The following is a 24,507-nucleotide window of genomic DNA, read 5'->3' on the forward strand; positions in this document are numbered from 1 at the left end:
AAAAGTCTGGGCTTCGCCCTTCCACTCCCATCTCGGAGTAATTTCAGTTGCGTTTCTTGAGTTCTATTACATCTTTCTGAGATGGCAAGGTCTAAAACTGCCCATAAATTTAGGAGTTGGCAAACTTCTATTGTGAAGAGCTGGGCAGTAAATATGCCAGGCTTTTGTTGGTCGTATGGTCTCTGTCGCAACCACTCAACTCTGCCATTGTCGTGGTTGTAGAAAGCAGCCATAGACGATGTGTAAACAAGTGAGCATGGCTGTGTTCCAATAAACTTCATTTACCAAAAAACAGGCAGAGGCAGAATTTAGCCCTGTGGGCTGTAGTTGGCTGACCCTTGCCCTAGGTTTATGGAAAGGGATTAGAGATGCAATAAATGGGGCAATTGATGGAGTAAAGGATGAGAGCTAGACCTCAAGGAAAGAGGTTTACCTCAGAAAGAAGGCACTTACGTCTACCTGGGCACCTGTGTGACTTTCTCTTTTTTTTTTTTTTTTTTTTTTTGAGAGGGAGTTTCGTTCTTGTTGCCCAGGTTGGAGAGCAATGGTGCGATCTTAACTCACCGCAACCTCCACCTCCTGGGTTCAAGCGATTCTCCAGAGTAGCTGGGATTATAGGCACGTGCCACCAGGCACAGCTAATTTTTGTATTTTTAGTAGAGATGGGGTTTCACCATGTTGGTCAGACTGGTCTTGAACTCCTAACCTCAGGTGATCCTCGGCTTCCCAAAGTGCTGGGATTACAGGCGTGAGCCACTGCAGTCGGCCGTGACTTCCTCTTTATGTGTCTGCCTTGCATTCTCCTCAACTGTGAGCACTTTCCGGGCTGGCAGTGTTTCCCAGCGATGGTTCCAGAGCCTTGCATACAGGCAGTGCTCAGACACAGCAGCATTTGAGAGAAGCAGGATGGTAAAGGTGAAGAGGCACCTTACTGTGGAAGGAGGGGAAATGAAAGAGGCTCATATGGAAAAGCCTCTATCATCATCTCAAGTGAACTAGGAGCTGTGTTAGCCAGACATGGTGGCTCACACCTATAATCCCAGCACTTTGGGAGCCTGAGGCAAGGGGATGGCTTGAGCCATCCCCTATCCCCTATAGGGATAGCCATCACCTATCCCCTATCTCAAGGGGTTTGAGACCAGCCTGGGCAACATAAGGAGACCCTGTCTCTACAAAAAATACAAAAATTAGCTAGGTGTGGTAGCATGTGCCTGTAGTCCCATCTAGTTGGCTGCAGCAGGAGTGTTGCTTGATCTCTGGAGGTCAAGGCTGCAGTGAGCCATGATGGCACCACTGCACTTCAGCCTGGGTGACAGAGCAGGACTCTGTCTCAAAAAAAAAAAAAAAAAAAAAAAAAAAAAAGCCATGTGTTATTAGCAGTTGAGTTACCTACCTCCACTGATGTTTAAGCAAGGAGGCAACTCTCTCCAGCGTTTCAGATTCAGTCCTTCCAAGAGGCAAAGGTTTAGGGCAGATGGTCTCCCTGTCTCACATTTATAGTATTCTACGTGATACTTTCTATTCTTCAAGACTCAGATGCTGCTTCCTCCAGGAAGCCTTCGTGGATTCCATTCTCCATTGGGAGCAATCCTTTTTTTCTACACGATTTACCCAAATAGGCATGGAGGGACCCATATCTGTATATGACAATGGAGGTTAGGGAGGGAGGCAAAGGAAGCACCTCCAGAATAGTCTTGGATTGCTGTGGGGGTGGTGGGAAAGGGAGGTTCCTGCAAAGCCCAGGTGCATTCTGAAACTCCCATAAGAGGAGTGAAGAATGTGGAGGTGGGGTAGGGTGGCTAGGAGCCAAGTAGCTCCTGGGTGCATTTTTTACACTCCTGTAACAGGTTGGACCACGTCTAGCTGTTCCTGGCCTCCATTTCTGACTCTCCTGAGAAGGGGTGGGGCCACGTGGGGGTTTGGAAGGTGGTGAGTGAAAAAGGAGGGTCCTTCATGCAGCTCATACCTACACACTGGGAATCCAGAGATAGGAGACTGAACTGAGAGACACCAATGAGAGTCCATTCTCTACTGAGCAATTGGAGCCCATTTTGCCCAGGGAAGGATGTTTGTGGACAACAGACGGGCCCGTAGACTAAGGCAGAAGAGGCAGAGAGCTGAGCATGGAGGCCCTGGGGCAGCTGAATGAATAGTTGCGGGGTTTGTCTTGGTGAGGAAAAGATAAAAGTATGTTCAAGGAAAATGATGTCTTTGGAGCAGAGTAGAGGCTGGAGAGATGTGTCCAAGCCCTCCATGATCTGTCCCAGCTGCCTTTTCTTCCTTTCTATTCCCCTTCAGACACCCCAGGTTCCCACTGAATCTCCAGCCAATCCCACCATTTCCCCACCTCTCAGCCTTTGTGTTGTTCTCTCTCCTTGGCATTTCCTTGTCTTCCTTTCTCCCATCTTCTTGTGTCTAAATACTTTCTATTCTTCAAGTCTCAGATGCTGCTTCCTCCAGGAAGCCTTCTTGGATTCCATTCCCCATTGGGAGCAATCCTTCTTTTCTCTGAACTCCTTATATCTCTCACCAGAGCAGTCATTTAGCAATGTCTCCTAGTAGTAAGGAAATATTCAAGATAGCAGCCATTTCCCAGGAAGCTCTGTGTTTCCCCTCATGCACATTACCCAGGCAAAGGCTCTCCAGAAGCAAGACTGGACAAACACTGTATAAGCTCAGGCCAGTGCAGCCATCTCCTTTATCAACTCCCTGCAGCAGTTGTCTCTCTGTTAGGTTAGGGCCCTATATGCACAAGTCATAGCCTGTAGCTACCAAAATCCTGGGCACCCTGCCCTCCTTATCCTCCAAAACCCCCAGCTAATTCTGTCTCTTGGTCAGTCCAAGGATAAACTCAGAGTCCTTCTTCTCCCGCCCCTCAGCTTCCTCTTCTCATGGTGGCAATGCCACAAGGGGGTCCTTCAACCATATTCAGGGAGTGGGCTCTGGGCTGTCCATCTTCTTGTAATCCTGGCATACCCAGGAGCTCTGGATTTCCACATGTCAATTGGAGGACCCATCTGGCCCTTAAATCTCGGCTCTCATTTGGCCAAGGTCAGAGAAGCACATCTCTTGAATGAAGTTAATGATGTACATGTATGTGTGTGCTCCCGCAGGAGCCCCAAAGAGATGGACTAAGTTTACAGGTGCACGTTAACTCATGAGCGAACACATCAACCTGCTGTTCTGACTGTCCTTGGGCAAGTGACAGCCCCTATCCCCACCCCGTCAACGTCTTGGTTTCTATTTTTGAAAAAACAAGGTTGGACAAACCTGCAAATTCCCTTTTAGCCACAATCTTTCATTGTGTAGTGGGGTGGGTGTATCTCAGCTCCCTTCTCAGAGAAGTGGTTGACATTCATAAGGAAAGGATTCCTGACAAAGGTGACAGGAATTTGAACCTCATTTCCGGGGAATTGATGCCCTTTATGATTTGTGATTTGAACCTGTAGGAATTCATGCCTGAGGATGAAAAGAAAGGGTTTTTTTTTTCCCCCAGCAAGAATCATAGAATGAACTGGGCGCGGTGTCTCATGGCCGGGCGTGGTGGCTCACACCTGTAATCCCAGCATTTTGGGAGGCCAAGGTGGTCAGATCACGAGGTCAGTAGTTTGAGACCAGCCTGACCAACATGGTGAAACCCCATCTCTACTAAAAATACAAAATTAGCCAGGCCTGGTGGTGCACACCTGTAATCCCAGCTACTTAGGAGGCTGAGGCAGGAGAATCACTTGAACCCAGGAGGCAGAGGTTGCAGATCGCGCCACTGCACTCCAGCCTGGGCAACAAAACCAGACTCTGTCTCAAAAAAAGAAAAGGATCATAAAATGGGCCAGTAGGTGGGGTGGCTCATGCCTGTAATCCCAGCACTTTGGGAGGCCAAGGTGGGAGGATTGCTTGAGCCCAGGAGTTCAACACCAGCCTGGGCAACATAGCAAGTCTTTCTTAAAAAAAAAAAAAAAAAAAATTAGTTGGATGTGATGGCACGTACCTGAAGTCTCAGCTACTTGGGAGACTGAGGCAGGAAAATCACTTGAGCCCAAGAGGTCTAGACTGCAGTGAGCTGTGATGGCGCCACTGAACTTGGGCAACACATCAAGACCTTGTCTCCAAAAAAAAAAAAAAAAAAGGGTCATAGAATTTTATTCTTATTAGCAACACCACAAAGATTTTCTAGACCGTTTAATATAGTAGCCACTAGCCTCATGTGGCTGTATGAAAGTAATTAAAATGAAATAAAATTAAAAAGCCACTTCCTCAGTCACGGTAGCACATTTAAGGGCTCAACAGTCACACGTAGCTAGTGGCTACCATATTGTTTGATGACTGAGAGAAACATGCTCACCCATCTAAACCCAAAGAATGGACCTAGAGGCACGAGGAACAGCGAAAGTGAGACTTTTAATGACAGTCTTGCAAGATCAGGTGTGTGGTAGGCAGGCACACCCAGGACAGTTACAACAAGCAATTTATCCCCTAGTGCACAAATCCCTCCCCCCGTTCCTCATAGGCTGAGTACTATGGGGTCACAATCTTCCCCAGCGTCGCCTGTTGGTTGTTGGGTTGGGGCTTTAGGTGTTTTCTTTAGGGTTGCCCCATTGCATTTTGTTGCAGCCCATAATGCATTGCAGCCATCTTGGGGGGTCCTTCAACTGTTTGACTTATGACCCAGGTAGTTAAGGCAAGCTGATAAAGTTAGCTATCTTTCAAGCTCAACTAAACTGTTTGGTTCGGGTGAGGGCAGCTAAGGGGCCCCAACCAGCAGATGCCAGCTATTAAGGTAGGGGCTTAGTGGATCTTGTTCTCCTGTGGTTTGTGGACCCAAGCCTATCTGAGACATTTTATTTTGAAAAGGGACCACGATATATGTAATTTTCTACAATGATGCAGATATAGAACATTTCCATCTTCTCACAGAAACTTCTATCAGGACTGCGCTGTCCTAGACCAACGTTTTGCAAACGAGGAAACTGAAGCTAAAAAGGAAACATGACCTCGCCAAGCTTTTTTTTTGAGATAGAGTTTCGCTCTTTTCACCCAGACTGGAGTACAATGATTTGATCTCGGTTCACTGTAACTTCTGCCTCCTGGGTTCAAGCGATTCTCCTGCCTCAGTCTCCCAAGTAACTGGGATTACAGGCAAGCACCACCACGCCCAGATAATTTTGGTATTTTTAGTAGAGACGGGTTTTCACCATGTTGGCCAGGCTGGTCTTTAACTCCTGAACTCAGGTGATCCACCCGCCTCGGCCTCCCAGAATGCTAGGATTACAGGCATGAGCCACCGAGCCCGATCATAGCTCACTGCAACCTGGAACTCCTAGGCTTAAGCGATCCTCCCATCTCAGCCTCCCTAGTAGCTGGGACCATAGGCCACACCACGACGCCCAGCTAATTTTTTTATTTTTCGTAGAGATAGAGTCTCAGTGTGTTGCCCAGGGTGGTCTGGAACTCCTGGGCTCAAGCAATCCTCCCACCTCAGCCTCTCAAAGTGCTTGGATTATAGGCGTTAGCCACCGCGCCCAGCCTCGCCCTGCATCTTAATGGCAGATCTAGGCCTAAAACCCCGGACCTTACTCCAAGGCCTGACATATCGCCCTCGTCCTTGCTGCCGCCTTCCTCTCTGGGCTCCCCCACCTCAGAGCCCCTTGTGGGCGCACAGCACGTTGGCCCAGGCGGGGCAGGGCTGGTCTGAGGGGATGTTTTTGACGGAGCGGAGCTCCAGATGCTGCACATTCCTGATCGGGTCAGGCCTGCCCTGCGGCACTCGGGGAATTAGCTTCGGTGAAGAGCCCCAGATCTTCTTTCTAGAGCTGCCCTCTTCCTGGCCAGCCCAAGAAGCGCGGGCGTTCAGGAACGCTCTCCCACCGCCTTGGGTGAGGCTGAAAGGCTGAGTGGATCCCCTGTTGCAGAAGTACTTCTGGTCAAGGAGGGGTTGGAGACGGGCAGGAAATTGCACCCCTTGTATCTTCCAAGGTCTCCAAATCCAGCACGAGGGGCATCTGGGAACAGGGTTTCTGCCAGCCCCACCTTGGGGCCGCATTTGGCGGGAACTGGATCTGCCTTCACCTGCAGCCCTGTGCGGGGCGTGACGGAAAGAGCGGGGAGAGGGGCGTCCTGGTGCGGGGGTTGTTGAGGTGAGAAGCCAGGGGAGGGGGCTCCGGGAGCGCCCTGACCTCGCGGACTGTTGGGAGGCGGAGGGGATGGGGGTTGGGGGAGAAGAGGGGAGCCTGGCAGCCAATGGGAGGGAGGATCTCGTTTCAAAAGGGTTAACCCACAGCCAATGGGAGCCTGGGGGAGCGGATCCTGCTCACTCCATTCAAGAATCCCAAGTATTCAAGATGGACGGCAGGGAGTGTGGAAGGAGAAAGGGGGCGAGGGGGGAAGAGCGAGATCGGCAGAGGAGAGGGTCTCCGCGGCCCACCGGCCTCGCAACCTCGGTCCCGGCCGGCGGGTGGCGGGGCGGCCGCTGGGGATCCAAGCCCGGCCCGGGAGAGGGGCTGGCGGGGTGCGAGAGGGCGTGAGCGAGGGGGAGCGAGGCCAGGGAGGGGAGCCAAGAGGGAGGGAAGGGCAGAGAAAGAGCCCGGGAAGAAGGAGGTGGCAGGCAGAGGATCCTAACGAAGAGCAATGTGTAGGTATCGAGAGCTTCCCGAAGGGTAACGACACCGATTTTCGGTTTTATTCTCTCTTGGGGAAGGGAGGGGGACGGTCTGGGCTCTTTCTCTCGTCTTCCTTTTTCCCTCCTCATTCTCCACTCGTGGGCATCTTTTCTATTTTTTCCTTTGGAAACACTGTAACTGGGAAGCACCAGGCGTGTCTTTCTGAGGTGGCCTCACTGTCATTTTCCAGTGGGGGGCGTGGTGGGGTAGGGATGGGGGGCTCCGCTGGGCACGGCCGAGCTGGGCCATCTGTCTCCACCTGGGTTGTGTGCGAGGGCGTGGAGTGTTCCGAGGGGGACCGGGGGCCGAAGGGCTGGAGCAGGGCAGGGAGTTCTGCACCTCCAGAAGTTGTAGGGTGAGCCAGGGGCGGTGTGGGGGTGTGAGGCTGGTTTTCGAGCTGATAGTTGTGGGGTGTTGAGGGGTGCGGGGATGTGTGTGTGTGGGGGGCGTGCGCTCACACTCCAGTTCTTGTTGTTTGGGTGTGTAATGAGGGCTGAGTTGTGCAGCAAGTATGGCTGAGAGTTTGTGTGTGTGTGTGTGTGTGTGTGTGGTGTGTACGTGCGCCTGTGTGGTCCAGCCTCGAGGTGTGTGTGTTCGGGGGGAGCACAGTTGGGTGTTGAAGGAGAGCGCCCCTCACCCCCCACTTCCCAGCTGCCTCTCTCATCCCATTCACAGAACATGGCTTTCAGGACCCTCCTGGTCTCCTCCTCCCGTCGCCATGGCTGCGAGGAGGGGGTGGGAGGAGACAGTTGGGGCCAGCCCCCTGCCCCTGCTGCTCCAGCTAACCCCCCACCTGCCCTTTCTCTCCCTTTCACAGGCTGGGCCCCATCCCCTGCTGCTCTGGGGGCAGGGGCCGGAAGATGGTGGCCAATGAGGAGGGGGAGAGGAGAGAACTTGAGCCGGGGCCTCCCCTCCCCCATTTCCTCCTCGGTCTCTACACTCGCTTCTGGAAGGAGCTGGGGGCTGGCTCCTGGGCCCAAGGTGGGGGAGGGGTCCTGCTGGCTGGTGAGTCGCTGGGCCTGCTCCTCAGGAATGAGTTGGGTGTGTGAGAGCTGAGGGGCTCTTGGCCCTTTCTCCCTGCACTCCCTAAGGAGAGACCTGGAAACTTCTTGGGGAAGAATCTTCCCCTGGCCTCCCTGAAGCTTGCTGTGCAGCCTTATCTTTGCCCCTCTGCCCCCTGTTGGTGTGATCCAGTTCCCAGCTGGGCCTGGTTTGCCCAACCCCAGAGCAGAGAGGTCACTGACCCTCGAGGGGTCTTGGTTTCCGCCCATTAAAACTGTAGGGCAGGGCCCCATGTTTGCAGATTACGGGAACAAACTCTGCCGGGGAGAGCGGGAGGGAACGTCTCCTGCTTCCTGAGGGGGTGGGACGAGGCTAGAGGGAAGCCCAGAGGAAGAGCTCCCAACTGGAATTCTGTCCTCTATTCCTTACGGTGGCTGTGGATTAGGGAAGAAGGCATCTCCCCTTCGTTGATCGGGGCACTGGAGGAATCACCCTCCAGCCTCTGTTTCTCTGGGCTGCCCAAAGTTCACTGGGTCAGAACTGGAGCTGGGCTCCGGGGCTGTGGCCCTAGCTGGAATGTGCCACAATAGAGCCTGCCTGGGTCTGAGCCTCCAGATATCCAGGTGTCCTTCCAGGGCAGCTTTCTGGCTTTGGGTGTTAATCTTCCGGGGACTGTTTGTCCTGTATTTAAGCCCCCTTAGGGTTGGATAGGATGGGGAAGTGCTAGGATGAGCTTGAAGACTCCCCAACCAAGGGTCCCTGGATAAGACAGGAAATAACTCAGATGTGAATCCCACTGCCAGTGAAAGCCTATCCCTAACTCTCAGTAACTGTGAGCGAATCACCCTCACCATTTTAATGCTGAATCTGCAAAGTGCTTTCAGGACCTCCAAAAGGAGATGCAGGGGTGGGGCTTCACCAGCAGCTTTCACCTCCCCGCCTGGAAGCTTCTCTCTACTGCGTGGGGAGCTGTGACTACAGGCTCCCACCTCTCTGGTCCTGGAAGGTCATCTGAGAGTGTTGCCTTGAGGCCTAGAGCTCTGCTTTATCTAAATTTAAAAGGAGATGGAAACTTAGAGAAGAGTAGAGGGTTCTGTAGTCTTGGGCAGCAAGCTCCTCTCTAGAAGGTAAGCTAGCGGAAATGCAAATCCAGATGAACACAGCCTCATACGAGTGACCTCCAGACTTTGGGGATTGCTAATAGCCGTTTTCTTTGAGGACTGAGCATCAAGCCCGAAGTATCCCTGCAGCTGCTTTAGTGGGTCCTGTCCTCCCATGCCAAAACCTCCAAGAAAAAGGTGGTCTCTGTGCTGGGGGTCAGGGGGTTGGTGAAGAAGGCGGCAAAAGGAAGAGTGGTGAAAAAATAGAATGAACACTAAGAATGGAATAAAAGGGAAAAAAGCTGTATTGAAGCAAAGAAGGGGCAGAGGGAGCCCGTGAGCTGAGTGGGCCAGGGACTGGGAGAAGGAGTGAGGAGGCAGGGCCGGCATGCCTCTGCTGCTGGCCAGAGCTCTTTTCACATTGTGCTACTGTCTGCACCTGTCACTAGCAGTGCAATGTTAAAAGGGCATTGGCCGTGTAGTGCTACCCAGCGCTGGCTGCCTCCTCAGCATTGCAATTCCTCTCCCATCTGGGCACCAGTCAGCTACCCTGGTGGGAATCTGGGTAGCCTCACTTGTTAGTTATACTAATAGCTCTCATTTATGGAACTACTTCTGTATGCAGTGCTTGTGATAGACACTGCCTCCGTTACTGTGAAACCTAATAACTTCTGGGAGGTAACAGCCCCATTTTATGGATGAAAAACTGAGGGTCAGAAAGGTTTAAACAGTTTGGCTAAGATTGTGTAGCTCTTAGGTTGCAAAGCCTAGATACAACCCTGTGTTAAGTCTTGACAGCTCACTCATCTTTTTGTAGACCCATCTGGAGAGATCTGAATAGGTTCTTCAAACTGGGAGATTTCCTGAGCTGAGGGGTGGAAGGTTTTGATGCCATCTGCTGGTTGTATGAGGATATCTTCCAAAGCCTCAAACCTTTAAGGACCAGAAGTGGTGGCAACTCCTTAGGCTAAGAAGGATAAGCATTCCCAGACTCAGCCCGGAATGGAGAGTGAGTGGAAAAAGATTAGGAGAATCACTATTAGGTACAGAGTAGGCCTCCTTGAGAAAAAAAGGAATGCACCAGAAAGGAAAGGGGGTTAACTCGAGAGGATTGCTCCCCAAAGAAAAGGACCTGTGTGCTGCTGGCATCCCATACCTACAGCTCCTTCCCTGGCTCATGAGGCATGGAAAGACCTCACTCCTTCCCTGAATCCACTTACCTTTCTCAGCACCACTCCCTCTTGGTCACGGGGTGTTTGATGGTAATGCTGCTTGAGGGCACACCTGTCTGGGCATCCAAGATTTGGACAGCGTTGCCCATGACTTAATCTTAAAGATTAATAGGATCCCTTGAATCAACCCACAGAATGATTCTCCCAGGACCAATTACAAGGAAATTGAGGCCGGGTGCGGTGGCTCACGCCTGTAATCCCAACACTTTGGGAGGCCGAGGCGGGCGGATCACCTGAGGTCAGGGGTTCAAGACCAGCCTGGCCAACATGGTGAAACCTCGTCTCTACTAAAAATACAAAAATTAGCCAGGCGTGGTAATGCACGCCTGTAGTCTCAGCTACTTGGGTGGCTGAGGCAGGAGACTCTTGAATGAATCTTGGAGGCAGAAGTTGAAGTGAGCCGAGATTGCGCCACTGCACTCCAGCCTGGGCAACAGAGCGAGACTCCATCTCAAAAAAAAAAAAAAAGAAAGAAAAATTTGAGAGCAATGACTCAGCCATTTACTTCTCTGTCTCCCACAGTGCCTAGTAGGCTTAATTAAAACTTGTTAAAATAAATTGAATGAGAGGAATATTTGGGGAGCTTCTTTAAGAAGGCAGCTAGTATTCCTGGTCTTTTGGCTAAGATCAAGTGAAGAAGGCAGCTAGTTTGTGCCTGGTTTTCAACAGCAGAGTTTGGGACTTGAGAAATCTTCCCTAAACTTTGGTGCAAGAAATGGGTCCAAGAGGAATAGGGTTTTGAGGTCCTCTGCTGGACCCTGAGAGGGATCTTGGCATCATGAGGCATGTAGAAACTGAAAGATGGGTCAGACTCCCCTGAGGCCTTAGTTGAGGGATGTTGGACATCTCTCCATGGCTTGCCTTTTTCCCTTGCCCTTTTACTTCTGTGCCTTCCAGTTCTAGTCCTCCTTTCTCCTGCCCAGACAGCCTCTCCATTCTGATCACAACAACAGTATTTGAGATAGTACAGTTAGCTTTATTTCCCTTTTTTTTTTTTTTTTAAGACAGAATCTCACTGTCGCCCAGGCTGGAGTGCAGTGGCGCGATCTCGGCCCACTGCAACCTCTGCCTACCAGGTTCAAGTGATTCTCCTGCCTCAACCTCCTGAGTAGCTGGGATTACAGGCGTGCACCACCATGCCTGGCTAATTTTTGTTGTCCAAGCTGGTCTGAAACTCTTGGCCTCAAGTGATCGCCCACCTCAGCCTCCCAAAGTGCTGGGATTACGGGTGTGAGCCACCGCACCCTACCATATGTTCCTTACTTTCTCCAGTCTATTAAAACTTCTATTTGAGCCTCTTGTCTGGGCACAAATAGCCATTTGATACTGCCACTCCACTCTAAAAAACAATAATTTTCCCATATTTCCCTAATACCATTGGGATTAAATCTAGATTCCCTAAATAGTTTATGGCTCCTGCTTCTCTTTCCTTTCATGTCCTCTCACCCACTTTTTAAGGAGACAAAGTTTTGCTCCAGCCCAGGCTGGAGTGCAGTGGCGTGATCATGGCTCACTGCAACCTCAGCCTCCTGGGCTCAAGTGATCCTCCTGCTCAGCCTCCTGAGTAGTCGAGACTACAGGTGCAGGTATGGCTTTTTTTTTTTTGAGACAAGATCTTGCTATATTGCCCAGGCTAACCTCAAAGTTTGGCCTCAAGCAAGCCTCCAGCCTTGGCTTCCTAAAGTGCTGGAATTAAGGCGTGAGCCACTGCTTTCAGCCCACAAGCAACTTTTATTTCCTTCAATTAACTAAACTTAAGTTACTTGACACATACTCTGTCTGAAATACTTCCATCACTTTTGCCTTTGCCTACCTAACTTCTTATCTTTCAAATGCCATCGTAGTCATCGCTTTTGTGAAGCCTTCCTTGACTCCTTACATCTAAGCTGAGTTCCTTTCCTATGAGCTCCCAAGCTTCCTCCACGTCCCTGCTTAGATCCCTTATTATCATCTTCTACTGGGATTTCCTGGTTATTGCATCTCCTACTGGACAGAAAGCTCCAGGAAGTCAGGTCACAGCTGCCTTATCTTCACCATGTGCTTAACATCTAGTGCTTAACACAATGCCTGGCAAGTAATAGATGCTTTATAAATATTTGGAATATTAATGAATGAATCTGGAAAGAATATTATAGCTTACCAAAAAATGATCTTTATGATGTATATGGTCTCCCCTGTAACTGTTGGGCACCCAACAACAGTAGGGATTTCATACCACTGCCAATAAAATGTCCCTTGGGTCATATGGTGGCATTGATGTTGCGATTTTGAGCTTTTTTTTTTTTTTTTTTTTTTTTTTTTTGAGACGGAGTCTTGCCCTGTCGCCAGGCTGGAGTGCAGCAGCACGATCTTGGCTCACTGCAACCTCTGCCTCCTGGGTTCAAGTGATTCTCCTGCCTCAGCCTCCCAAGTAGCTGGGATTACAGGCACGTGCCATCATGCCTGGCTAATTTTTGAATTTTTAGTAGAGACGGGGTTTTGCCATGTTGGTCAGGCTGGTCTCAAACTCCTGACATCAGGTGATCCACCAGCCTCGGCCTCTCAAAGTGCTGGAACTGCAGGCGTGAGCCATCGCGCCCGGCCTAATTTTTGAGCTATTTTGTTTCACTTCCCATCAACTGCCAGAGCAGCACTTTGGCTGACTGATTTTCCTTTTAGCCTTAAGTGTGCCCATGAACTGACCAGAGCATTACAGAACCAGGCTGAAAAGCCACGGGACTCAAGAAAATCCTTATTCTGAGATGAGCCTCTTTCAGAGCCCGATCCTGGATCTAGGCAAAATGGACTTACTGTCAGGGGTGCCAGCAGACACAAGCGGTTTTGGATGCTCTCGCCGAGTAGCTAACAAAACCCACCCCTCTTACTAAGGCAAAACTTCACCTGAACGCTTATTCCCCGGTAAAAGCTCAAGCAGTAGTCTTGCCATAGACAGGGCAACTGCTGCCCCCTAGTGGTATAAAGGGACAGGCCCGGGTGGGTGGGGGTGTGTGTGTGTGACGGGGACAGTTTATGGGTACATGCACAGGGAAAGAAAGTCAGAGGACAGGTTGCCTCAAGTTGCTTTTTCCCTTTTTATTAAAAATAGACTCAAGCACTTTATGTATCATACAAAAGTTTCATTCGCTGGTGGCAGCCACGGGAAAGACTGGCCCCGTAGCACTGATTTTCCACCTCCCCTCCAGGGGACTGGGTCCCAGGAGCAGTGACTGGGCCTCAGAGAAAGCCCATAAAGACTGCTTACTCTGGAAGCAGCCGACTAGGGGCTGTTCCGCGAGCAGCTGTCCCCACCCCACCCAATGGCAAAAGTTAGATACTCGAAAGTGCCTCTTCAGTGCCAAGATAAACTAACAAGTGGAGTGAAATGGAAAACCCTTTGATTATTTTACTATTTCCCAGGGCCTGGGATTTGAGTTTTCCCTGCACTCAAGTCCTTTTCCCTACAAATAGGGGTAGGAAACTTCATCCTCAGAGACTCTGGTCTCCTGGTGTCTGAGACCAGAATTTCACTCCAACCCAAGTCTTTTCTCATCTGCTGTTCTGTGGTCCATGATCTACTTGCCCTGTGACCCAAGGTTTGTCCTCTGTTCACTCAAAAAGAGGTGGAGCAAAAACGGATTCCTCCCACAATCCTCTCTGCCTGAGTCTATGCCCTGCCATCGCTTCCATGTTCAGGATCTTGGGAACAGAAAGACCCACAACCATCCCTTTCCCCCAGTTCTGTCTCTCCCTGACTGCTGCCCACTCCTGAGCCTTAACACCCCTGGGGTACCCCCAGACCCCTGTTCTAAAGGGTGCCTGGTAGTGGATATGGTGGAGGCAGGGGAGGGGTTGGTTGGAGCCAGGTTTCCCCCAGGGGTGGGGCAGTACTCATGCTGGTATAGACTGCTTGGCAGGGCCGTGGGGAGGGAGGGGCATGCGGAGGAAGGGCACACCCTGCCTGAGCCCCTCAGTCCCAGCCGTTGTCCTTCACCATGTGTGACATTTCAATGATGTATTTCCCTTCCTTGTACTTCTGGCTCGTCTCAAAAGCTTGCTCCTGGTGAAGGAGAAAGCAGTGATTGTAGGACAAAGCAGTTTCCTTCCAGGCCCCACTGTCACCTGTATGGCCCCCACCCCAAGGGTCATCCACCTAGCCCAACCCAGTGACTAGTTCTTTCTTTCCTCTTTGGACCATGCAAGGAAGGACCTGACATGGTCACTGGTGCTTGAAGGGCCATGGGGACTGCCACTTTAGAGGGTGACCCTCTTCCTCAGGTACTTACATATTTCCAGCCCAGTGTGGTTTTGCAGCTCTCACAGAAAATGTCAGCTACCGAGTGGAGCCCCGTGAGCAAGAGGCGCTGTTCAGCTGGCCCGCAACCCACGTTGACCCTGTCTCAGGAAACAGGAAGGACCCAGCACCCAGTGGGGTTGCACTGTCAGTCCAGTCCCCAGACAGCCCAAGGGAACTTCCATCTGGAGAGAACTGGACAGCCCCTGCCTTTGATAATCCACCCCTTTAAGACTAGAGCCTGGGCCTTCTTTTTCCACCGTTATGATTTCAATTCTCCCCCGGCTCCCCATGTGAGAACTTCAGATTGAGACCCTCTTTGCAAAAGGGGAGGCAAAGACTGAAGGCACAAGATCACCTGATGGATTCCCCCCTTTCTCCACAGAGGAAAATTACTCACTCACACACAAGCACAAGCACACGCACAAGGAAAGAGGTAGACTCACACGGAGTTAAACAGGTAGGCTCGGCCATGGCTCCCTTGGAAGGACTGTGGAGACATAGGACAGACAATGACTACCAAGCAGCCTTCAGCCCCACTGCCTGAATCCCCGCAGGGGTGTGTAGGAGAGAGGAAGAGCTTTGCTGCCTCACCCCTGGGTGATGTTCAGGCTAGCCTGGTGCGCGAGAGGAGGGGAATGGCAGGTCCCCGCTTCGCGTACCTTGGAAATAAGCTCATCGTGTTTGGCCAGGTGTGCACGGCAGTGGACACAGCTGTAAGTGCGGTGACAGCGGGGCAGATAGCTGCGGAAAGTCTTGGTGGGGAGGCAGGCAGGGCCCGGACCGGGGTCACAGCTGGGCATGACGGGCTGGAGGACAATGCCCTGGTGGGCTGGAGGGGCTGGCGCCGTGCAGCCCCCGCAGAGACGGTCGCAGGTGAAGCAGCGGAGCAGGTTGGCTAGAGCCGTGTTTCAGGGCAGGAGAAGTGTTGGGGGGCTGCCCGGCCAGGGCCCCCCCAGACGAGAACCAGATAGAAATAGAAGTCACCTGGGAAGAGGGGAAAGGACATCAGGGGAGCTGCGACCTCAGGAGGACCCCTCCTGAGGGAATGGAGGAAAAGGGAATCAGCTCACCCATACCTCTACTTTCCCCATCACCATCGACCCCCCCACAGCATCCAGTTGCATTGTCGCCCTGTCCCCTGGATCCCCATTCTGCTCTGGCAAACCTGGCAGCCGATCCAGGCTTCTGGCGCCAAAGCCAGGGAGTCGGTGTTTCTCCCTCCTGGGGCAGAAGCAGCCTCCACCATTTTCCACAGAGAGAAGCCCACGGGCACAGACGCTGCCATGGGAGCAACGTCATCTGCAAGTGCCCTCTCCTTGGTTTTCAGTTCTTCGTGAGGCTCTGCATCGCACAGGCACTGTGTCTCAGGGGATCAGAGCCTTTTAAGAGTTGGGGATGCCTGAAGGTCTTTCTTTTACATGGTCTTTGTTTGCAATACAATTGGTCCTTTATACATTTTGGGGAGGGGGGCAGGAGGTGTAAGGTGAGGGGAGGGAGAGCATGCAGGCAGGTATACAAACCCTGATTCGGTTCTCTCCTGAGGTCAGGGTCCTGTGCTCTGGGACTCTTCACTAGAACTTTATAGATGTTTCCAACAGTACCAAAGCCCTCACGTGTGGCCGCCCATTCTCGCACCTTGGTTCACTCATTCTGGCCCAGAATAAGCACCTGCCTGTCTTCCCAGCCTGTGGGCCCCTTGGTCTTTCTCTCTCCTAGTCTTTACTAACTGTTGCCTTAGCCCTTGGTTAAAGACTTAGGCAGAAAATACATTTTCTTCAGGCAATCTGACAGCTGGAGCCAATGGGAAATGGGTAGCATGTCAGAGGAGCCTGATTCCTGGGCTGGGCAGGGCTGTGTGGTAGGGTGAGAGCAACGGCCACAACGAACAGCAGAAGGGGGACTCTTATTTTTAACAGCTGTGCTTTGGGGCACAAGGCAGAAAATGTTTCTTTCTACCTTCTCCCAGGGGCAGGGACAAACAGCAGTGACTCTGTGGGTGACTGAAGATGAAGTAATTGCTGGGTTCTGATTAGGAATAGAGGAAGATTGCCTTCTGCCCACGCGCCAGCCTCCGAGTGGCTGAAGGTGCTGGAGGCAGAGGATAAGAAGGGAGGTGGCCCCTGTTGGCTCCGATAAGCAGGTGAGCTGCTGCTTTCTCCTTCATAGGGCTTCCCAGCCCACTGTGGGTGGTTAGCCTAAGTCTGGTTCAGAGATGCCAGCTGGGCACTCTGGCAATGCTAGAGCACTAAGCAGAGAAGAGGCAGTGTTGGCTCTGGTTAGCCAGGGCATACAGGCTCTCCTCGTCCTGTCCTCCGCAGTGGCCACAGGCACCCAGCTGTTCCACTCTCTCTGAAGGCCGCCAGGCAGTCTCTCCGCAAAACCTCCATAGAGACTATCTTCAGTTTCAGGTCCTCTCCTCCGGGCTGGGTCCCAGGAAGACACCTTGGGCTGAGTTCAGGGTGACATTGGGCTCCGGCTGCAGGAAACGGGCCCTCCTTGCCAAGAGACCACCTTTCAGTCTCTGCTTCACAGGTTTGCCTTCAACTTTGCCAGCGAGTTCCCCTCTGACATGCACCACCTTGAAACACCTTCTTCAAGGGGCATGGAGAATGGGGCAGCTTGGGTCCCCAATCCTGAGCTCCTTCTCCAGCCTCCGGCCGTCACGCCTCCCTCCCTCTCCCCTAATTCCCAGTCAAGCCAAGGAAAGGCTGCACAGAAGGCCAGAGAATCACAAAGGGGAGTAGGGGTCATTTTTTCACCCATCTCGGATCACAGGGAGAAGCAAGTTGGGCAAATGACTGGAGAAAAAACAAAGGCAAGCCGAGTGCTGGGGAGAGATGTTCCCCTGAAGTGAGACGGGGCTGGACCGTAGGAGAAAGGGGAGAGGGAGGGCTGGCGGGGGCAACTGACAGCTGACAGCAGAGGCGCCGAGGCGGAGGCTGGAGGAACCAGGTGCGAATCTCGTGCTTCTCAGGGGGGAAAAGAAAAGGGGGGGGACACCTGCTCACAATGGATTTTCTCATCTGCTCTGAGGTTTTGGCACCCCCCAGGCTGGTATTCTCAGTATGGTATGGTCCAAATAATTAGCAGCACCGCCAGCTCCCAGGGCAGGCTTTGGGGGTCTGCACCAGCAGCAAAACAATAAACAGTGATGCCTGATGCTGCAGCCAAAGTTGCCGGGAAATAAGTGCGGGAATCGTCAGAGCTTGGAGAGGGATGGAGGAACCGAGAGAGAGGAGCGGAGGCAGCGGGGAGGGGGAAGGGAGGACAAAGGGTGGATGAATAATGCTTTTGCAAAGGGGAGAAAGCAACACGCAGCAGGAGGAGGAAATTTGCAAAGAGAAAAAAATTCATTTGGAGAAGGGCTGCCCCCTCACCTTGAGGTCTGCTCCAGAGATCTCCGTCTATCTCTCTCTCTCTCTCTCAATCTCTCAATCTCTCTGCTCACTCTTCTCTCTTCTCTTTCCGCTCCTTCAATTGGGAAGGGGATGGGGGTGGGTGGGGGGAGGGTAGTTGGGGGCTCAAGACTGGGGCTGCAAAGCTGGCCAGCTGCTGGGGGGGCAGAGGTTGTCTCTCGTTCTGTACCTCGGTCTGTGGGTGAATGTGGCTGTGTGTTGTGGAACTGCATCATAACACTGTGAGTCATCCATCCCCCCCACCCCCCCTCACCTCCCACGTCAGAGCAGGGCTGGGAGACACAGGAGGCGGGTCGGAAGGAAGGGAGGGGGTAGGCATCAAGGGACGGGGCTAGAGGAGTGGGGGCCGAGGGACAAGGCGGCGATGGTGGGCAAGGGGAGAGGCAGGTTGTTAAGGAGGAAGGCAGTGGGGCCAAGGAGATACGAAGAACCTGGGGGAAGGACAGGGCTGGGCAAGGATGCAGTGAGGGTGGCAGGGCTGGAGGAAAGGAGGTGGCAAGGCTGGTGAAGGAAGAGATGGATGCAGAGTGAGGGAGCACACACACATTTAAGATGATACACTTTCCCATTTCAGCTTGGACACCAGCCCTGAAGCAGGGAAAAGACAGATGTACTAATTGTCATGGATGGCAAACTGTGCCCCCAAACTTGTACCAAGCCTCAAAGCCTTGGTTTAATACTCCTGAAGGAGTAATAGACCCAATGTGACATTTTGCATGCAGGAACCCCTTAACAGCTACCTCCATATTATGCGTGCTTCATGAATGGAGACACCTACGTTATATGAAGTTCTCTATTGGGCTGTAAACTTCCTGAGACAGGCCTTCTGGGAAATTACTCTCTACATCCCAGGACTGCAATGTCCAGTGCAGACCCGTGCATTTAGATGTTTCCAAAATAGCAGTTGTTTCCGCGGCATTATGTTCTGCTGGCCTAGAGGTCTTAGTTCCAGAGGGAGGAATGCTGCCACCAAGAGACACAACAATGATTCCATTAAACTGGAAGTTAAGATTGCCACCTGGCCACTTTGGGCTCTTCTTACTTTTAAGCCAACTTGCTAAGAAGGGAGTTACAGTGTTTGACCCAGACTATCAAGATGAAATCAGTCTACTACTCCACAATGGCGGTAAGGAAGTATGCGTGGAATACAGGAGATCACGTAGGGCGTCTCTTAATATTACCATGCCCTGTGATTAAGGTCAATGGGAAACTGCAACAGCCCAATCCAGGCAGGATGACAAATGGCCCAGACCCTTCAGGAATGAAGGTTTGGGTCACTCCACCAGGTAAAAAAAACATAATCTGCTGAGGTGCTTGCTGAAGGCAAACGGAATTCAGAATGGGTAGTCAAAGAAGGTAGTCATCAATACGAACTATGACCATGTGACCAGCTGCAGAAAATGAGGACTGTAATTGTCATGAGTATTTCCTCCTCCTTTTGTTAGGAACATGTTTGTGCATATATACACTTGTATTAAGAAAATATCTTCATTTTATTTCCTTTCTTTTGCCTTTATCATGTGACATAAGACTTACTGACTTGATATCAGCACTTAAGTGTTGTTAACTCTATGTAATAGCATTTGGGTTGGGGATTGGTGCGTTTCCGGTTGTACAAAGGATAGCTGTATTATGTTAAGCGTAATTATGACCTTATTATTGTCTTTATTTGAAGATCATGTATGATTTCAGGAGACGTGTATGGGTTCAAGTTGACAAGGGGTGGACTGGTGATGGTTAATATTGTCAACTAGATTGGATTGAAAGATGCAAAGTATTGTTCCTGGGTGTGTCTGTGAGGGTATTGCCAAAGGCGATTAACATTTGAGTCAATGGACTAGGAAAGGCAGACCCACCTCAATCTGGATGGGCACAATGTAATCAACTGTCAGCTAGGCCAGAATAAAAGCAGACAGAAGAACGTGGAAAGACCAGACTGGTTTAGCCTCTGAGCCTACGTCTTTCTCCCATGCTGGACGCTTCCTGCCCTCGAATATTGAACTCCAAGGTCTTCAACTTTGGGATTCGGACTGGCTTCCTTGCCCCTCAGCTTGCAGGCAGCCTACTGTGGGACCTCATCTGGTGATCATCTGAGTCAATATTCCGTAATAACTCTGATTTATATATACATCTATCCTATTAGTTCTATCCCGCTAGAGAACTCTGATTAATAGAGCAGTTGAGTTGCATCTTCAGACATGAACCAAGTGTCTGGCTTTGGTCTCAAAGAGACTGAATTAGACTCTTAGCTCTGCCAATTACTTGGCAGGAACCACTAGGCAAATTACTGATAATCTTTGTGCCTTAGTCTTACTCTTCTGCTAAATGAAGCTAATAATATTTATTATTATTAGCTCATGGAGATGCAGAATAAAGTGAGATAACATTTAAATGCCTGAAAAATGCCTGGCACATGATAGGCAGTAAACAGTAGTGTCATTTCAAAACAACATTCTCGCCAGGTGCGGTGGTTCACGCCTGTAATCCCAGCACTTTGGGAGGCCGAGGCAGGCAGATCACAAGGTCAGGAGATCGAGACCATCCTGGCCAACATGGTGAAATCCCCATCCCTAATAAATAACAAAAATTAGCTGGACATGGTGGCACGTGCCTGTAATCCCAGCTACTCGAGAGCCTGAGGCAGGAGAATCGCTTGAACAGGAAGTCAGAGGTTGCGGTAAGCTGAGATGGCGCCACTGTACTCACAGAGGTTGCAGTGAGCCGATCGCGCCAGCCTGGTGACAGAGCGAGACTCTGTTTCAAAAAAAAAAAAAGCATTCTTGGCTGGGTGAGGTGGCTCACACCTTGTAATCCCAGCACTTTGGGAGGCCGAGGTAGGCGAATCACCTGAGGTTGGGAGTTCGAGACCAGCCTGGACAACGTGGTGAAACCCCCCTCTCTACTAAAAATACAAAAAATTAGCCAGGTGTGATGGCGTATGCCTGTAATCACAGCTACTTGGGAGGCTGAGGCAGAAGAATCGCTTGAACCCAGGAGGCGGAGGTTGCAGTGAGCCAAGATGGGACCACTGCACTCTAGCCTGGGCAACAAAGAGAGACTCCGTCTCAAAAAAAAAAACAAAACCAAAAAAACAAAAGTGAAACCAAAACAGCATTCTCAATGTATGACCCCCAAAACCCAGGGAGGATTTATTATTAAATTCTGATATCTCAAGAGACACATGCCAAATTTTTGTCTTATGAAGACATTACATCTTTTGTTGCTATTTTTCTAGCAGCTTCCAGTTAAATTTCATTTGACTCAGAATTCATTTCTCATGGGGTGCTGTCCTGTGCATGTTACTAAAGTATGTGAACACAGAACATATCCCCTAAGACAAAAACCCTGATTTCTAACAGAGTCTAGCATTTAGCAAATGAAGTACGACAAAGATAGGGACTTCTAGAAAGCAGTGCTTGGGGGTGGTTTGTTTTTCTTCTCACACGTAAAGAGGGAAAAAAAAGTTAAGGCAGAGAAATGTGGGTAATGGGAGACATTGCTAGTTGAGCATGAAAATAAAAAGGGATTCTAAATATTTAATCAGGGAAGATTCTGGGGTTTAAAGTAAATTCTGAAAAGACAATGTGGGTGTCTTGAGGGATAGTACTAGAGATTTGGAATTGAGAGAAAAAGCTAGGTAAAGAAAGAAGAGAGAAGTGCTTTTGTTTGGGCAGCAGAAGAGAGGGGAGATAAAAGTAGAACACATGGACACAGGAAGGGGAACATCACGCACTGGGGCCTGTTGAGGGGTGGGGGGAGGGGAGAGGGATAGCATTAGGAGATATACCTAATGCTAAATGACGAGTTAATGGGTGCAGTACACCAATATGGCACATGTATACATATGTAACAAACCTGCACGTTGTGCACCACATGTACCCTAAAACTTAAAGTATAATAATAATAAAATTTAAAAAAAAAAGAAAAAAAAAGATTTTGAAAAGCAATTGTTGAGGAGAACAATGAGAAGTGGGAAAAGGCAAATGATTAGTTTTCAAGGCATGGATCGAAAGTTCTTTTGTTTTGTTTGTTTGTTTGTTTGTTCTTTGAAATGGAATCTCGCTCTGTTTCCCAGGCTGGAGTGCAATGCCATGATCGAGAATCACTGCAACCTCCGGCTCCCGGGTTCAAGTGATTCTCCCACCTCAGCTTCCTGAGTAGCTGGGATTACAGGCATGTGCCACCATGCCTGGCTAATTTTTGTATTTTTCGTAGAGACGGGATTTCACCATGTTGGTCATGCCGGTCTCGAACTCCTGATCTCAAGTGATCCACCCACCCTGGCCTCCCAAGGTGCTGGGATTACAGGCGTGAGTCACTGGGCCCAGCTCGGATTCAAAGTTTGGAAGCAGGCCGGACACCTGTAATCCCAGCACTTTGGGAGGCTGAGGCGGGCAGATGACCCTGAGGTCAGGGGTTCAAGACCATCCTGGCTAACATGACAAAACTCCTTCTCTACTAAACATACAAAAATTAGCTGGGCATGGCAGCGGGCGCCTGTAATCTCAGCTACTTGGGAGGCTGAGGCGGGAGAATTGCTTGAACCCGGAAGGCGCAGGCTGCAGTGAGCCGAGATTGCGCCACTTCACTCCAGCCTGGGCAACAAGAACGAAACTATGTCTCAAGAAAAAGAAAGAAAGAGAGAGAGAGAAAGAAAGAAAGAAAGAAAGTTTGGAAGCAAAAAGAAAATGATCAAGGATCTAGCTGGAGAGGAGAAAAAGAACATATGATGACGGTATTGTTTGGAGGTGGGGTGGAGATGGCAGGAGTGCTTGGTGAAAGATTAAAACTGAGAAAAGAGCTGGGCGCCGTGGCTCACGCCTGTAATCCCGACATTTTGGGAGACCGAGGCAGGTGGATCACCTGAGGTTAGGAGTTCGAGACCAGCCTGACCAACATGGTGAAACCCTGTCTCTGCTAAAAATAGAAAAATTAGCTGGGTGTGGCAGTGGAAACCTGTAATCCCAGCTACTCGGGAGGCTGAGGCAGGAGAACCGCTTGAACCCGGGAGATGGAGGTTGCAGTGAGCTGAGATCGCACCACTGCAATCCAGTCTGGGAGACAGAGTAAGACTCCATCTAAAAAAAAAAAAAAAAAAAAAAAAAGTGAGAGAAGAGAGTGTAGTCAAGCACAGATGCTTTAAATGTTGTGTCCTGACTCTTTCTGTATTTTAGAGGCAAAATGGAGAGCAGCCTAAAGGAAAGGAGGGGTTCTTTTCCCTAAGTTCAGCTTGAGATGGTTATACAATATCCAAATAAAAACAACTTTCAGGTAACTGGGAGAAACTGCCTCAAGGGAGATAGTAGAGGCGAAGATACAGATCTCGGAGATAGATTGCATGGAAAAAGGCGAGGATAAGCCCACTCAGGGAGAAAATTTGCAAATGGAAGACTGGAACTGAATTTTTAAAGAAGAGTGGAAGATTAGGGGACACACAATAGTTAATTGAAAAACTAATGCATAGGCCGGGCGTGGTGGCTCACGCCTGTGTTCTCAGCACTTTGGGAGGCGGAGATGGGCAGATCACTTGAGGTCAGAAGTTTGAGGTCAGCCTGACCAACATGGTGAAAACCCCATCTCTACTAAAAATACAAAAATTACCTGGGCGTGGTGACACACGCCTGTAATCCAAGCTACTTGGGAGGCTGAGGCAGGAGAATCACTTGAACCCAGGAGGCAGAGGTTGCAGTGAGCTGAAATTGCACCACTTCACTCCAGCCTGGGCAACAGAGCAAAACCTCATCTCAAAAAAAAAAAAAAAAAAAAAAAAGCTAATGCATATATGTTCAATGAATGAAATAATTAAAGCAAACCATCAAAGAAAAACTCAGAAGTGATAAGTGAGGATGGCACTGCTTGGGGAGTGCTGCTAAGTAGGGCCAGCAGGAGAAAATCTTTCTGGCGAACCAGAAAATCTTCCCAGTCTCCTCAATATGAATTAACTACGTGAGCCGGACTGAAAAAAGTACTCACCTGTAAAGTGGAGATGACAATTATAGTACCTACTGCATAGGATTCTGGCTACGATTAAATGAATTTACACCTGAAAAGTCCATAGACCAGTATCTGGCATATAACAGTATATAAATGTGGTTTTTTGTTTTTTGTTTTTGTTTTTTTGAGACAGAGTCTCGCGCTGTCGCCCAGGCTGGAGTGCAGTGGCAGGATCTCAGCTCACTGCAAGCTCCGCCTCCCGGGGTCAGGCCATTCTCCTGCCTCAGCCTCCCTAGTAGCTGGGACTACAGGCGCCTGCCACCACGCCCAGCTAATTTTTTTGTATTTTTAGTCGAGACGGGGTTTCACTATGTTAGCCAGGATGGTCTCGATCTCCTGACCTCGTGATCCACCCACCTCGGCCTCCCAAAGTGCTGGGATTACAGGCGTGAGCCACCACGCCCTGCCTTAAATGTGATTTTTTTTGTGAGACAGAGTCTCACTCTGTTGCCTAGGCTGGTGTGCAGTGGCGTGATCTCAGTTCACTGCAACCTCCGCCTCCCCGGTTCAAGCGATTCTCCTGCCTCAGCCTCCCAAGTAGCCGGGATTACAGGCGCCCGCCACCACGCCTAGCTAATTTTTGTATTTTTAGTATAGATGGGGTTTCACCATGTTGGTCAGGCTGGTCTCGAACTCCTGACCTCAGGTGATCCGCCCGTCTCGGCCTCCCAAAGTGCTGAGACTGCAGGCGTGAGCCACCGCGCCTGGCCTAAATGTTTACTATTATTATAACCGGACTCAGAAACTCTGGGTTTGAGTCCTAGCTCTACCAATGGCTGTTAATGTTTGGGCAAACCTCTGCACCTATCTGAGTCTCCTCCCCCATCTGAAATT

General features: G+C 50.4%; 1 protein-coding gene, 1 long non-coding RNA gene and 1 other non-coding gene across 5 annotated transcripts, besides 5 other annotated features; 2 read left to right on the top strand and 1 right to left on the bottom strand.

Moving 5' to 3' along the window:
• Positions 6,256-6,445: a silencer, noted in NCBI's record as "silent region_3352". NCBI's record gives its function as "represses an Ori minimal core promoter by ATAC-STARR-seq in GM12878 lymphoblastoid cells {active_cell/tissue: GM12878}" and the evidence as "EXISTENCE:reporter gene assay evidence [ECO:0000049][PMID:35858748]".
• Positions 6,332-20,857, top strand: MIR130AHG (MIR130A host gene). Its single transcript, NR_186232.1, has 2 exons — positions 6,332-6,628; positions 18,254-20,857. It is a non-coding gene; the product is annotated as an MIR130A host gene (long non-coding RNA).
• Positions 6,466-6,525: a silencer, noted in NCBI's record as "silent region_3353". NCBI's record gives its function as "represses an Ori minimal core promoter by ATAC-STARR-seq in GM12878 lymphoblastoid cells {active_cell/tissue: GM12878}" and the evidence as "EXISTENCE:reporter gene assay evidence [ECO:0000049][PMID:35858748]".
• Positions 7,372-7,951: an enhancer, noted in NCBI's record as "NANOG-H3K27ac-H3K4me1 hESC enhancer chr11:57406889-57407468 (GRCh37/hg19 assembly coordinates)". NCBI's record gives its function as "activates a minimal SCP1, AML or CMV promoter by ChIP-STARR-seq in primed H9 embryonic stem cells {active_cell/tissue: H9 hESC(primed)}" and the evidence as "EXISTENCE:reporter gene assay evidence [ECO:0000049][PMID:30033119]".
• On the top strand, positions 9,154-9,242 carry MIR130A (microRNA 130a). Its single transcript, NR_029673.1, has one exon. It is a non-coding gene; the product is annotated as a microRNA 130a (primary transcript).
• Positions 11,226-11,725: an enhancer, noted in NCBI's record as "H3K4me1 hESC enhancer chr11:57410743-57411242 (GRCh37/hg19 assembly coordinates)". NCBI's record gives its function as "activates a minimal SCP1, AML or CMV promoter by ChIP-STARR-seq in naive H9 embryonic stem cells {active_cell/tissue: H9 hESC(naive)}" and the evidence as "EXISTENCE:reporter gene assay evidence [ECO:0000049][PMID:30033119]".
• On the bottom strand, positions 13,043-17,868 carry YPEL4 (yippee like 4). Of its 3 annotated transcripts, NM_001363487.2 has the most exons (6): positions 17,641-17,868; positions 15,429-15,620; positions 14,923-15,247; positions 14,707-14,750; positions 14,253-14,361; positions 13,043-14,026 (listed from the first exon to the last, which is right to left on the bottom strand). In NM_001363487.2, exons 3-6 carry the CDS (start codon positions 15,061-15,063, stop codon positions 13,937-13,939), a joined length of 384 nt encoding a protein of 127 aa, NP_001350416.1. In that variant the 5' UTR covers positions 15,064-15,247; positions 15,429-15,620; positions 17,641-17,868; the 3' UTR covers positions 13,043-13,936. The 3 variants fall into 3 exon arrangements, with proteins under 3 accessions (NP_001350416.1, NP_659445.1, XP_047282487.1); NM_145008.3 differs by lacking the exon at positions 15,429-15,620; XM_047426531.1 differs by having other exon boundaries at positions 14,923-17,868.
• Positions 16,240-16,379: an enhancer, noted in NCBI's record as "active region_4725". NCBI's record gives its function as "activates an Ori minimal core promoter by ATAC-STARR-seq in GM12878 lymphoblastoid cells {active_cell/tissue: GM12878}" and the evidence as "EXISTENCE:reporter gene assay evidence [ECO:0000049][PMID:35858748]".

Source organism: Homo sapiens, chromosome 11, assembly GCF_000001405.40.
Source record: "Homo sapiens chromosome 11, GRCh38.p14 Primary Assembly".
Lineage (NCBI taxonomy): Eukaryota > Metazoa > Chordata > Mammalia > Primates > Hominidae > Homo > Homo sapiens.